Source organism: Homo sapiens, chromosome 2 (genome assembly GCF_000001405.40).
Source record: "Homo sapiens chromosome 2, GRCh38.p14 Primary Assembly".
In the NCBI taxonomy this organism is placed as follows: domain Eukaryota; kingdom Metazoa; phylum Chordata; class Mammalia; order Primates; family Hominidae; genus Homo; species Homo sapiens.
In genome coordinates, this window is record NC_000002.12 from 43,550,761 (window position 1) to 43,566,503 (window position 15,743).

Consider the following 15,743-nt stretch of genomic DNA (forward strand, 5'->3'; position numbering starts at 1 on the left):
AAATATTAGCTATAAGATTGCATGTTCCTTATTCTTATGCACTGCTCAAGTAGAAAATCTAAAGCGACAAAATTTAGTATTTAAGGCCAGCACAGTGGCTAAGGCCTGTAATCCCAATGCTTTAAGAGGCCAAGGCAGAAGGATTGCTTGACAAGAGCAGCCTGCACAACACAGGAAGATCCCATCTCTACCAAAAAAAAATTAATTAAATAAAATAATTTGGTATTTAGACTAACAACAGGCTAAATAAATGTGTCTTACTATCGTGAACCATCACCAATCTTCTAACTCATTTTTAGGAAAGAACAAAACCTAATATTCTCTGTGCAAAACACATAACTCCACATTACCTTAATTATCAGCCCAAGGTATTTCAGCATATGGTTCAGTGAGTGTTTATGATACAGTCAGTTTTTCTAATACAAGCCTCTCTTTGCACTCTAAAATACATTTACAAACTTTATTTCAACACCAAACATAAATATATTTCATGATTTTTCTGTGTATTAAAAGGAACACTCAATTTTAGCACAGGTTAAGCATCCCTTATCTGAAATGCCTGGGACCAAAAACGTTCTCAATTTATTTTTTTGAATATTGGAATATCTGCATTGTACTTAATGGCTGAGGAGCCCTAATCTGAAAATCCAAAATACAGATGCTCCAATAAGCATTTCTTTTGAGCATCCCATTGGTGTTCAAAAAGTTTCAAAATCTGGAGCATTTTGTATTTCCAATTTTCAGATTTGGGATGTTCAACTTATACAGTATTATATAACTCAAGTTACCCTGGGGTAGAAGGTACCGTGCTCATCCTCTGGTTTGGGAATTTTTTTTTTTTTTTTTTTGCTACTTTTTAATAGTTAAAACTATTGCTAAAAGGCAGAAATACCACAAATAATAATAATTATTTTCTCCTCAACTTAGCTTTTATATCTCCCCAAAGAAATACTTGGGGAAAAAAAAAAAGAGGTAAAGACATAATAATCAAACCACAGCACTCTAGCCGGCCTTCTTCATTTGCTAACCTGAATCAGTGTCCATTGGGATGAGGCCTTCAGGGGATGAGCTCTGAATGACTGGAGACACCACAGTGGAAAGCCTGTAGGACATCAAAAGGAGCTTCTCTACCACAGGTCTCCACTCGCTCACCAACTGCAGGCTGCTGCAACAAGGACATTAGGGAAATTTATACTAAAAGCAAAAATCACATTTTAAAAATGAAAATTAGATAAAAGGATTGACTTTGTGTTTCAAAATTGTTCAATACATAAAACATGTGAGACATAAAAATATACACAGATACGTATGTTTTTAAATCTGATTTTCAATTTTATTCAAAGCAATAGACTGCATTCCTTTCCCAGGACACATTCCAACCAGAGGTTAAAGCTCAGAAATGAATGGATTTCTGAGACAGGAGGCAGCTGTGGAAATCCTTACTTTAGAGATAACTTCTGCAAAGCTCCTGTTATACAGTGGACTCGCCCATACATTGGAAATGCTGCTGCTGCCTGAAGCAGAGAATTTTCAGCCTGAGATACTTCTTCCTCAAGATTTTCCATCAAGCATTTGATAACTAGAAAAAGCAAACAGAAAATCAAAGTAATGTCAATCTTAAAACATTTGTAAATGTACGAACAGCAAAATAGTTCCCATTAATATGGCCAACTCAAATGAACTTTACACTAGAGTTTTTTAATCAAAAAGAGATCTTTCAGGGTTATCCAACAGGGTGGCTCATTTCTAGGCAGAACTGAGTGTCTTTCCCTAAACTGCCTGTATCCATTACAGCATTCACTCTTAGTCCTTCCTCCTAAACATCCTCTCACTAGGGTATCAAACCCCAGGCTGATGTGGCATGTGCTAATTGGACAGCAGATGGCTTTCAAATTAAAAAAGAAAAAAAAGAACAGCTTTTCTGAGATGTAATTCATATGCCACAAAATTCATACATTTGAAGTATACAATAGTTTTTATTAGTCACATATGTACAACCATCACCATAATTAATTTTAGAACATTTTCACTGCCCTCCTGCCACCAAACGAAAAAAAAAAAAGAAAACTTACCCGTTAGCAGTCACTGCTCTCCTTGCACCTCTACCCTTCTCCAGCCCTAGAGGATCACATATTGTATGATTCCATTTATGATACGTCCAGAGTAGGCAAATCTATAGACAGAAAATAAACTAGTTGCCTGGACGTCTCATATAAATAGAATCATACAATATGCGATCTTTTGAAACTGGCTTTTCACTTAGCATAATGTTTGCAAAGTTCATCCATGCTGCAGCATGTATCAATACTTCATTCCTTCCTATAGATGAATAATAGCTCACTGTATAGCCATACCACATGGATATACCACATTTTATTTATCCATTCATCTGTTGACAGACGTAGATTGTTCCCACTTTTTGGCTATTACAAATAATGTTGCTATAAACATTCTTGTACAAGTTTTTGTTTAGATGTATGTTTTCATTTCTCTTAGGTATATCCTTGTTATGGACTACATGTTTGTGCTTCCTCCCCCACCCCAATATTGGTATTTTGAAGTCCTAATCCCTAATGTGATAATCGAAGATGGAGACCTTGGAAGGTAATTAGGTTTAGATTAAGTCATGAGGTTAGGACCCTCATAATGGGATTAGTGTCCTTAAAAGAACAAAGGCCAGAGCTTGCTCTCTCTTCCTGCCATGTGAGCACACAGCAACATGGCCATCTGAGAGTCAAAAAGAGGCCCCTTATCAGGAGCTGGAAACTTGATATTGGAATTCTCTGCCTCTAAAATTATGAGAATAAAGGTCTGTGTTTAAGCCACTTAGTCTATGGCATTTTGTTATAGCAGCTCGAGCTAAGACAATGCCTAAGAGTGGAACTGCAGGGTCACATGGTAACTCTATGTTTAGCCTTTTGAGGAACTGCCAGACTATTTTCCAAAGCAGATACAGCATTTTACAATCCCACCAACAGTCTATGCGGGTTCCACTTTCTCTACATCCTCATCAATGCTTGTTATCATCTCTTTTTTAAATTATAGTCATCCTATGGGATGTGAAGTGCTTCCTCACTGTGATTTTGATTTGCATTTCTGTAAAGGCTTTTGATGTTGAGCACTTTTTAATGTGCTCATTGTTCATGTGTATATCTTCTTTGGAAAAATGTCTATTCAGATTCTTTGTCCAATTGTAAAATGTGGTTATGTCCTTTTATTAGTGAGTTGTACAAGTTCTTTATATATACTAGACAAAAGTCCCTTATCAGACATAGGATTTGCAAATACCCCATTTTTCAGGCTTTTTCAATTTCTTAATGGCATCCTTTCACATACAATAGTTTTAAATTTTGATGAAGTCCAATTTATCTTTTGTTTCCCTTTGTGGCTTGTACTTTGGAAGTCATAACTAACCATTGGTTAACCCAAGATCACAATGACTGACATCTATGTTTTCTTCCAAGAATTTTATAGTTTTAGCTCTTATATTTAAGTCTTTTATTTATTTTGAGCTAGCTTTTGTATATGGCATAAGGTAGTGAATCTAATTTCATTCTCTTGCATGTACATGTCCAGTTATACCAGTATAACAGACATCTCCCCTCAACGCCTTGGAAGGAGAAGGTTATATTCTAAATATTAGATTTGGTAAAAACAGTAAATTATTATTCAGAACATATAAAAGAACTCCTAAAAATCAATAAGAAAAAGACAAACAACCCTACAGAAAAACTGGACAAAGGACATCGACAGGCATTGCACTGAAGGGGAAAAGTAAATGGCTTGTAAACATGGGAAAAAATAATTGTATTAGTAATCAGAAAAATGTAAGATGAAACCACAATGAGATATCGTTTTATATTATATAAATTTTTAAAATCTGACAATAGCAAATTATGGTGATGATGTGATGCAATACAAGTCTCGGAATTTGTTGGTGAGAGTGTAATTTAAAAGCCTACTTGGCATCATCTCATAAAGTTCAAGATGCACATACTTTGTGACCAGGTTATTCCATTTGTTTACCATAAACTCTTAGACATGTGCATTAGAAGATATTAATATACAGGCTAAGTACTCCTTATCTGAAATGCTTGGGACCATAAGCGTTTCAGATTTTATATTTTTTCAGATTTTGGAATATCTGCATCATACTTTGAACACCCCAAATGTGAAAATCCAAAATCCAAAATGCTCCAATGTGCATTTCCTTTGAGTGTCATGTTGGTACTCAAAAAGCTTTGGATTTTGGACCATTTCAGGTGTTGGATTACGGATGCTCAACCTATATGTAAAAGATCTACATAAGAATGTTTACACTGGCATTATTTATTTAGGAGAAAAAGTCCATCAACAGGAGAACGGATTCATAAATTGTGGTAAATCTGTACAATATATACAGTAAGTACTACTGAGAAAATTCAGTATCATGTAAAACTGAATAATATATAATAATATATACACCAGAGGCAATATTATTAAAAAAAAGAAGATAAAAATTAATATAAAATACAGCCAGGATAAAGGAAAGGCTTCAAAGATATGAGTGTTATTGTATGACTTAAGGTAAGTGTGATCACCTAGCTTGTGAATAAAACTTGTGAACTTTTTACATATTATTTATATATATTACATGTATATATATATATATGTTTTTTAAGCCGTCTATATTTAAACATTCTTTGTATGTTTGAAATATCTCATAAAGTCCTAAAATGTCTTGAATTGAAAGCCTTTATGTGAAGCATGCATTCCCTATTCACCTCAATTGCAGTCCTCTTCCCACTGTCTCAATAGGGTCTCCTTTGAAATCCAGCTATGAAGCAATTCAAGTAGGCAAGCATCATCCTCCATGGTACTGTCACCTCTCTATCTCCAGATCTCTGGCCATATTCCCACCAGAACTACCCATGGCCTCCTCTTTTTCTCCCATTACTAGTTCTCTTTTTCATGGCTGTTTCTACCATCCTGGAAATAATAATTTTTAACTCTCTTTCTATATCTGATCTCCCTTTTCCTATTAAAAAAAAATCCTTATCTGTCCTTATTTCTAGTACAATTCTAAAATGAAGACTGACTAGCATAAAATTAAGTACATGAATCCCCAATAAATATTTGTTGAAAATCACTAGATCTGAATAATCTCAGACCCTAGGTTTTGGAACTGGCTATTTGGGAAGAGTAAAAGGCAGGGGTATGACAGTTAATTAAAACATAAACCCTGACAGAAAAAGGAACTCCACCTATATAGAAACAATAAAGATGGTCTGTCTCTAGTCACAGTATAATTTATGTAGGGAAAAAAGCACACTTTTGGTGGAGAAAGAGGTCATTCTCATTTCAAAAGAGCTTTATTAATAAATATTTGTATATGTACTTATTCAACATAAATCCACTGTTTAGAAAAAAGTATTATAGCTGACTAAAATGTTCATTTGCATAATGAGAACCCATGGTGCTCTTATATGCTGATAAACTTTTAAATAAAAAACCACAAAATATATGTTTAACCATTAGATATTCTAACCAAATGAATACTGAGACTAAGCTATTCGTTTTGATAAGAGCAAACATCAATACAAACCCATTAATGTGTTCCTTTCCACCACAGCAGCAGGCCTATCTCCATTATCACATGCAACTTGCTGAGTTAAGTAGGCAGACAAGGATGACGGTAGAGCATCCTGCCAGATTAAGAAGTTCAGCAGGTAGGAAGCTGTCACACAGTCGTATGGTTTGGTGCTTGTGCTGAGCTCCAATGCTGCCTGAAATAAGCCTTGCAGTTTCCCCGAATCCTAGAATAAAGCGCAGACTCAGTAACTGTCAAATTAAAGATCTCTTTAATTTAAAAAAATAGTAAATTTTTTAAAACACAGCCTGGAGCTGAGTACAGTGGGCTCGAGCCTAGAGTCCCAGCTACTCAAGAGGCTGATGGAGGAGGATTACTTGAGGCCAGGAGCTCAAGATCAGCCAAGACAACATAGTGAGACCCCATCTCAAAAAAACAACAACAAAAAACACAGGCTTGGTGCAGTGGCTCATATCTGTAACCCCATCACTTTGGAAGGCCAAGATGGGAGGATCACTTGAGGTTAGGAGTCTTGAGACCAGCCTGGGCAACACGGTGAGACAAAAAACTTACTCTACAAAAACTCTACGAAAAACCTTAAAAATTAGCTGGGTGTAATGGTGCACACCTGTAGTCCCAGCCATTCAAGAGGCTGAGAGGTGAGGATCACTCGAGCTCAGGAGTTCATGGCTGCAGTGAGCAGTGATTGCACCACTGTGCTCCAGCCTAGGCAATAGAGTGAGACCCTGTCTCTATTAAAAGAAAAAAAACAAAACAAAACAAAACAACACAGCCTGGCATATAATTGTAAGTCAATATAAACATTAGTTTCCTCTCTCCCTGAATATAGGTGAGTTTTTTATTACAGTAATTAATGATTATTAATCAGCTGGAAATAATTTCAATTGGGAAATTCAACACTGATAAAACCTTTTTTTAAAACTGCTTCTTTCTTCAGCAAAAGTGTACTTTGTCCTGTAGAATTTTGCTATGACTACAGCCAGACTATCTTTACTATTTCTAGACAGGGCAGTTCATAGTCTCTCAGGGCTTATGTTTCACCTGGGCATCATATGGCTGCCCTTCTCCCTTCCTCCTTCCTATACAGGTAGTTCACTGGAGAAAACTGCAAATCCCCTGGGAGGCTGTACCTGGTGAAACTTTGTGTGTGTGGAAAACAAAGTGATCAATTCAGCCTCAGAAATTATGCATCAGAGCTCCCACACCTATATCTCACAGAAACATCCACTCACATCGCCTGTCCTAAAGAAGACAGAACAAAGGACAGTTTGCTGTTGTAGTCATGGAAAGGCACTGGGCTGACAACAGAAGACATAAGTCCTAGTCCCAACTTCAACAACTGGCAAGCTGTGTGTTCATAAGTCTGGAAGTCAGGGTTTGGCTGCTCAATAATATTCTGATTCTACTAGGATTATTCCCTATCTTGTGTTAGGAAAAAATAATTATACACTCAATTTTGAAGTTGATTATAGGTCTACAAATATTTGATGATGTTTTATAATTTCACAACAGTGGATATCAAATGTGCTGATTTAAATATCTGTTTATTTCAATTTAAATTCTTTACCATTTGATAAGTTTATTTTCTATGACCTAAATAAAAAACTTAAAAGTAGTGGCCAAAGTTCAAGTTTAAATAAGTATTAGAAAGAACCAATTAAGCATCTAAACCATTTTTTAACTGACAGTTAAGTCCCAGAACTGTTTTATTAATCATTAGTAAGAAAGATAATAAATAGCCTTTGAAGTCTAAAATGTCTTTGTTCCGTCATCTTAGGTCAATCGAAGTATAATATGACAAAAGACCTAGGATATGCAGCTCCAAAGAAGGAGAGTAACCTAGGTGAGTAGGATAGTCAAGCTATTTATGAGAAAAATATGCCGTCAACAATACGTATGTACACGTCCTTAGAGAGATCAGGTTAGCATTCAAAAACTGCTGTACACTTAACTGTATTAAAAATTAATTATATATTATATAAGGGACACCCAAAGAAAGACTTTGGAAATATAATATTGTGATGGTTAATACTGAGTGTCAGCTTGATTGGATTGAAGGATGCAAAGTATTGTTCCTGTGTGTGTCTGTGAGGGTGTTGCCAAAGGAGATTAATATTTCAATCAGTGGACTGGGAAAGGCAGATCCATCCTCCACCTGGGTAAACACAATCTAATCAGATGCCAGTGCAGCAAGAATAAAAGCAGGAAGAAGAACATGGAAAGATTAGACTGGTTTAGTCTTCTGGCCTACTTCTCCCATGCTGGATGCTTCCTGCGCTGGAACATCAGACTCTTGCAAGTTCTTCAGCTTTAGCTTCCTTGCTCCTCAGCTTGCAGAGGGCTATTGTGGGGCCTCAGCTTGTGATCGTGTGAGTCAATACTCCTTAATAAACTCTCCTTTATATATACATCTATCCTATTAGTTCTGTCCCTCTAGAAAACCCTAATACAAATATATAATTAATATTTTTAAATCTTGAATGCCTATTCCTTTAACTATTTTACTAATCTGCAAGCCAGAGAGTATAATCAAAATCCTATAGCAAACCACATGTGGTACTAAATTTCTTGAATTCTATGGCTAGTGTCAATATACCAAGCACGGGTTTATCAAATTTAGAGATGCAGAGGTCCCCTGAGCCCCTTAGTGATGTAAGGGCCAGGTCTTTCACATTTATGCCATAATATGCCTTCTCCATCCAGGTACTCTCAAAATATTTGCCAAGAATGGGGCATCGCTATTGACACAATATGAGGTGACATGTGATGAATGATAAGGTGAGGAGTGGCAGACAGAGGAAGAGAAAATCTCCTCTTTAAAAACTGTGTATGGTAACAAAAGTTAGCAGCCTGAGCACCAGGGAACTTTCTGCTCACAAGGGCACCTGAAAAATCATAGGCATCGGTAGATGCTGTACAGCAACTTCCAATATGGACCCAAGTCAAAAAAGATTGATGTTCTGAGAGATACAGATAGATAGATGTTCTACATAGCCATCTAGAAGCCACAGAAACAGACACTATCCTCTCTGGCATGTGATCCTACAGAATCCACTGCATCTACAAGCTACCATGCCCTAAACACAGCTGAACAACCACAGCCTAGACCATGGCTCAGCTGCAGCAGAAACCCTCGGCCTTTATAGAGCTCTAATAGAAAGCCATAGCTAAGCTCCAGAACCAGTACTCTGCTGGTGACCCAACAGCCCTAGGAGAAGCCTCAAGGGCAGAGCTAAGAGCCAGGGTCTGGAAGTCCCCTGCAGACTCATCCCCACACAATGTGTTCACTTCCAACCCCACCTTTAATTCCTACCCCAAAGTGGGAAGAGCAATGTGTCAGGAAGAATGGAGGGGCTGGGGATGAGGTAGAGCACTAGGAACTGTTGTTAACCTCAAGTACTCGGTAAGTTTCAGTCTCAGTTTAGCTATTGCTGGTTCAAAAACCAGAAACATCCTCTCTACCTCATTTACACTCAGTTTCTCAAGTGTATGAAAAAGGGAGATTATCTCGAAAAATGCAAGTTACTGTAAGTGATGTGTTCTGATCGAATATTACATGTCCAAGGGAACAGGGGAAACCACAGTTAACTAAAATCTACCAATAATCTTGTAAACAATAAAACCTACCACCTCCTACACCTCCCTTTTTATCAAAGCAATAAAAACAGCAAAGCTCACTGATTTGTGCCTTATTTACTTTTTGATATTTCCTCCTTTCCCACTAACCCCAAAATAGTAGAGAGGTGTTAATGATAACTGAAAGAAACAGTCCAAAAACATGAGCAGGCAGATGCAAAGCACATGAATAATCCTCAGATTGCTTTATCTGCTGATAGAAAGTTTCCATGCATATACCACATTTATACTAGAAAAGTCCTGATACCTGAAAATGTACAGCTGTTTTTGATAACTTCATCAGAAGATCAAATGCTAAAATTTTCACGTCTTCAAAAGTGCTGGTAAAACATTCCATTAGTGTTTGGAAACGACCAACATCAATATCATGACTCAGCTGATATACTGTATAAATTCTGCCTAAAAATATTTTAAAAACAAAAAGATTTAAAAGTGAACAAAAAGAAATCAGTCTTCTGAAGTTATTTGACCAAATTTATAGAAAATAAGTACCAAAAAACCACACTTCATACTTTACCCATGATAGCTAAAACAGTAACTTTTCCATTAATTTATTTCTTAAAATGACAAAATAAGTACTACAGTTCTCCAAATTAAAAAAGATTTTTAAACCATTCCATTATCTTTTGAAAGATACTATATAAAAGATTTCTAAGTTATTGTTAAAAATAAACAAAAACAAGTAAATTTAGAAACACATCTTTTTAAAAATCCTAATAAAACTTCTTGACCTAGAATACAAAGTTCTGGCCAGGCTCAGCGGCTCACACCTGTAATCCCAGCACTTTGGGAGGCTGAGGTGGGTGGATCACCTGAGGTCAAGAGTTTGAGACCAGTCTGGCCAACAAAGTAAAACCCCTTCTCTACTAAAAACACAAAAATTAGCCAGGCATAGTGGCACACGACTGTAATCCCAGCTACTTGGGAGGCTGAGGCAGCAGAATCGCTCGAGGCCAGGAGACGGAGATTGCAGTGAGCTGAGCTCATGTCAGTGCACTCCAGCCTGCGCAACAGAGTGAGACTTGGTCTCAAAAAAAAAAAAAAAAAAAAAAGCAAAGTCCTACCATATCTTAGAGTGAACTGACATAGAATGATCAGTATGATGACATATCCTGATAGACTTACTGGGAGTCAAAGATAAAGAAGGAATCTTTTGGCCCTTCAGGGAAAAGCTCAATTCATCTACAAAATGGAAAAAATTAGACTGGCTTCACTCATCCCTATAACAACATGTAGTGCTAAAAGATAATGGAGCAATGCTTACAAAATCCTCAGGGAATGAAGGTGTGAAGAACTTTGCCTATCAAACTCTTATTCAAGTGTAAGAACAATAGAAACATTTTATAATATGCAAGAAATTAAGAACTACTTATCTCCAGAAACTCTTAGAGAAAAAGGAATTTCAGCCAACCAAGGGATGAAAAGAAAAATTATCCCAAAGAATGATGGTAATCACTGACTCCACTTAACTCTAGGATGAAAACTCAAGAACTGTGGAAAAACAGGTTTCATGGCAAAATGTGAAGAACATTTAAAAACATTTCACAAGTGAACTCCTAATGAAAACTGAAAACATTATTATGCTTAGTTAATTTGAGGAATATAAATTGGGATACAAACTTCTCATTTAATTTTAATTTACAAGTTAGAACAACCCTATGAAATTCCTAGAGCCGACACCTGAGGTTTTTGTTACTTCCTTAACAACTCTGCTCAGATTTGCTTCTTGTTTTCCAATCTCACTGCTTTTTATTTTTTTCTTGTATAATTGCTCTGGCTAGAACTTTCAGTACAATGGTGAACAGCAGTGATGACAGTGGGCATCTGTGTCTTCTTCCTGATCTTAGGACAAAAGCTTTCAGTTTCTCACCAGTGAGTGTGATGTTACCTGTGGTTGTGTTACAAATGTCCTTCATCATCTTGTCCTTCCTATTTCTAGTTTTGCTGTGCTCATTTTTTTAATCATAAAAGGGTACTGAATTCTGTCAAATGCCTTTTCTGCAAAAATTGAGACGATCACATGGTATTTCCATTTTCATTTTAATGTGGTGTATTACATTGACTATTATTCTTAAATTGACCCACCCTTACATTCCTGGGATAAATTCCACTTACTAATGGTATATAACACTTTTAATATGCTGTTGGATTTGGTTTGCTAGTATTCTATTGAGGGTTTTTGCCTCTATATCCATAAAGGATATTGGTCTTTGGTTTTTTCTTTCCTTTTCTTTCTTCTTTTCCTTCTCTTCTCCTCTGTTTTCTTCTCTTTTCTTTGATGAAGTCTTGCTCTTGTCGCCCAGGCTGGAGTACAATGGCGCAATCTCAGCCCATTGAAACCTCAGCCTCCTGGGTTCAGGCAATTCTCCTGCCTCAGCCTCCTGAGTAGCTGGGATTACAGGTACCTGCCACCACGCCCGGCTAATTTTTTGTATTTTTAGTAGCGACGGGGTTTCACCATGTTGGCCAGTCTGGTCTTAAACTCCTGATCTCAGGTGATCCACCTGACTCGGCCTCCCAAAGTGGTGGGATTACAGGCATGAGCCACCACACCCGGCTGGTTTTCTTTTAAGTGTCTTTGGTTTTGGTATCGGGGTAATCATGGCCTTATAAAATGAGGTAGGAGGTGTTCCCTTCTCTCCAATTTTTTGAAAGAGTCTCAGAAGGACTGGTGTAATTCTTCTTTAAATGCTTTGTAGATTTCACCAGAGAAGTCACTTGCCCTGAACCTTCTCTTCCTCTGTGAGCCTTTTGAATACTGATTCAATCTCTTATAGGTCTGCTCACATTTTCTATTTCTTCTCAAGTCACTAATTGTCATGTTTCTAGAAACTTGTCCATTTCATGTAGGTTATCTAACTTGTTGGTGTTACAATTGTTCACTGTACTGTCTTATAATCATTTTTATTTCTGCAAACTTAATAGAAATGTTCCTACTTTCATTTCTGATTTTAGTTGTTTATACTGTCTTTCTTTTATCTTAGTCAGTTTAGCAAACTTTGTCTATTTGTTAATCTTTAAAAAACACAACTTCTGGTTTCGTAGATTATTCGTGTTGTTTTTCTGTTTTCTATTTCATTTATCTCTGTTCTAATCTTTTTGTTTCCTTCCTTTTAAGTTTGTTCTTCTCTTCTAATTGCTTGAGGTGGAAAGTTAACTTGGTTATTAATTCAAGATCTTTTAATGTAGGCATTTACAGCTATAACTTTCCCTATAAGCACAGCTTTTGCTGCAATGCATAAGTTTTCGTACGTTGTATTTTTGCTTTCATTCATCTCAAAATATTTTCTAACTTCCTTCATGATTTATTCTTTTATCCATCAGTTGTTTAAGAGCTTTTTTCAAATGTGAAGCCCTTTATGACACCACTGTATGAAGCCACTAACACTCTCCAGCCTCCTAGGTCTTCTATATATCCCCCTTATCTTCTTGAAATACTTTTCACAGAACTTATCTACATCTTGTACATAAATAATCTACATAATCTTGTATCTACATAATGTACTAATATACACAAATTCTATGTATTACTTGTTCATTACTATCTCCCTTCACTGAAACATAAGCTCCAAAGGAAGAAGCACCTTGTTTGGGACTGTGAATATCCTCGGCTGCTTGACATATAATAAGCACGAAATTAATATTTGCTGAACAAATCCTTTTAATCTAATTGTAGATTTTTTTTTACCATCAATATTGTGGCATTTGATTCCACATAAGAAAGATGCATGCAACTTATTCTTCCTGGTCTAGGAAAGGCAGAAACCATTTGACTAATCTCAAATCAGTCCTACCACTGAAGTTCTTGAGATGATAATGAAGGATGAATTTACATCTCCCATCCTGTACTTCATAGTCAAGGTTCTTAAGCCTCCTTTAAAAGTAATGCCTGCAGTATGGCTTGCTCCATTTGCATTACCTCCCAGTTGTCTAACATAATTACGATGGCATTAAGTCACTGCCCAATTACATGCAACTCATTCATTAGAAAGATGACTCAGGGTTTTCATTTTTAAAGTACATTTAAATGTATTAAATTACTCTCTTGACTGAAAAATTATAGGTACGCTTCAGCCTAGTTTTATTTCCCACACACTTAGATGCAGCTACAACTGCTTTAAATGTGCAGAAAACTTTTTGTTATATGGTTGAAGTAATCAATCACTCTAAGGTAAAAACTTATTTTCTAAATTAAGTTGAAGTACTATTGAAATTCTATGAACTGATGGGAGACTCCCGCATTCACTGGATGCTGTAACAAATTACCACATACTTGGTGCTTAAAACCACAGAAACCTATTCTCTCATAGTTCTGGAAGCCAGAAGTTCAAAATCAAGGTGTCAGTAGGGCCATGCACTCCAGAGGCTCTAAAATCTGTTCCTTGCCTCTTCCAGCTTCTAGCAGCTGCAGGCATTCCATGGCCTGTAGCCATCTCATGCCAATCTCTACCTACGCTGTCGCACTGCCTCCTCTTTCTTTTGTTTGTCAAATCTCTCTCTGCCTCTGTCTTGTAAGGATACTTGTGATGACATTTTTGATCCATCAAGATAATCTAGAATTATCTCACCTCAAGATCCTAAACTTAAGAATATCTGCAAGGACCCTTCTTCCATGTAAGGTTTGCATTCACAGCTTCTAAAGATTTGATGTGGATGTGTTTTAGAGACCATTTTTCAGCCTGCCATCCCCACGTGAATAAGGTGATCATATTTCCTATTATAAAAACTGGAACAAGCCAGTATCATCAATACTCTAATAGGATGCCCTGTGAAGAACACCATTATCACCTATGCAACATTCCTGCAAAAATGTACAGCATGAATCAAATCATCAGGAAACAATGAGACAAACCCTGAGACATATTCTTCCAAAATGTTAATATCATAAAATTAGAAACTTTCCAGATTAAAGGAAGCTAAAAAGAGGCATAATAACAAAACGCAATGCGTGATCTAGGATTGCTTCCCAGATTGTAGGAAGCTTTTTGTTCTATAATATAAAAGGCCATTTGTTGGGACAATTGGCAAAATTTAAATATGGATTGCGTATTCAATTAAAGCATTGTATCAACATTCAATTTCCTGAATTTGATCATTGTGTTATGGTTATAGAATTAATAAAGGACACAGATATAGCAAATATTGCAAAATATTAATAACTGATGAATTGGCCAGGTGCGGTGGCTCACACCTGTAATCCCAGCACTTTGGGAGACTAAGCAAGGCGGACAACCTGAGGTCAGGAGTTCGAGACCAGCCTGACCAACATGGTGAAACCCCGTCTCTACTAAAAATACAAAAATTAACCTGGGCGTGGTGGCACGTGCCTGTAATCCCAGCTACTCAGGAGGCTGAGACAGGAGAACTGCTTGAACCCAGGAGGCAGAGGTCACGGTGATCATGCCACTGTACCCCAGCCTGGGCAACAGAGCGAGACTCCGTCTCAAAAAAAAAAAAAAAAAAGATGAATCTAGGTAGAGCATAAATAGCTATTCATTGAACCAGTCTTGAAACTTTGCTGCTGATTTAAATTTTTTCAGAATAAAAACTTTTAAAAACTGATTTTCCCCAAATGAAGCAAGCCTCTTTTACATTAGCTAACTGTCCTCCTGTCAAAAAATTACACTTTGCCCAATAATTTAAAATAAAAAAGAATCCAATGATAGTGTAAAGCTCCCTCATGCTTTGGCCATTCCCTGTGAAGGAGCAGCTGAGCAGGATATTTTCCTGTTTGACCACAGTCAACGAAGACAGCACAAGCAAGAAATCCCACATTCTAACACATATACACACATATACAGGGAAAAAAGAATCATTTCAGCAGGACACGGTGGCTCACGCCTGTAATCTCACCACTTTGGGAGGCCGAGGCGGGCAGATCACGAGGTCAGGAGATCGAGACCATCCTGACTTAACATGGTGAAACCCCATCTCTACTAAAAATACAAAAAATTAGCCAGGTGTAGCGGCATGCGCCTGAAGTCCCAGCTACTCGGGAGGCTGAGGCAGGAGAATCGCTTGAACCCAGCAGGCGGAGGTTGCAGTGAGCCGAGATCACGCCACCACACTCCAGCCTGGGCAACAGAGCTAGACTCTGTCTCAAAATAAAAAAAAAGGAATCATTTCTTGTCAAAAAGGAAAAAATGAAACAAAAAAAAAAGATTCAAAGAGGGAACTGAAATTTGACCCTCTTGAGAACCACACAGAAGGAAAAACAAAGGGTATTATTAAATCAGAATACTTGGAAATTACATCCTCATATTGTCTTTCCGAAACCAGACTGAGGCACATGAAACAGACGGCATGTAAAGGAAACCACATTTTAACCACAGAGACTCACTGAGAAATATTAAATATAATAGAAGCTATTATTATTTCAAATTTTAAAACTTAAAGAACAGATTGGATACTATCTTAAAACAGCAACAAACAAATTAGTGAGGTAATAGCTGGAACTCTTTCCATAATAAGCATAATCCATGAAAATTATACTTTGGGGTTGGCAAATAATGATCAA

The 15,743-nt window shown here is 36.9% G+C and overlaps 1 protein-coding gene across 9 annotated transcripts in view; it reads right to left on the bottom strand.

Moving 5' to 3' along the window:
* THADA (THADA armadillo repeat containing) overlaps nucleotides 1-15,743 on the bottom strand; it is a 365,188-nt gene that overhangs the window by 319,910 nt on the left and 29,535 nt on the right. For 5 of the 9 annotated variants that reach the window (NR_073394.2, NR_144316.2, NM_022065.5 and 2 more), the window contains 4 exons: nucleotides 9,474-9,625; nucleotides 5,585-5,795; nucleotides 1,444-1,579; nucleotides 1,029-1,165 (listed from right to left, as the gene is read on the bottom strand). Coding sequence is in view for 7 of the 9 variants with exons in the window: in NM_022065.5 (NP_071348.3) it covers nucleotides 1,029-1,165; nucleotides 1,444-1,579; nucleotides 5,585-5,795; nucleotides 9,474-9,625 (636 nt within the window). In the remaining 2 variants the exon portion in view is untranslated. Of the gene's footprint in view, nucleotides 1-1,028; nucleotides 1,166-1,309; nucleotides 1,580-5,332; nucleotides 5,796-9,473; nucleotides 9,626-15,743 lie in introns of those variants that run through there. The other 4 variants (NM_001345924.2, NM_001345923.2, NM_001271643.2 and 1 more) reach the window with 3 other exon arrangements.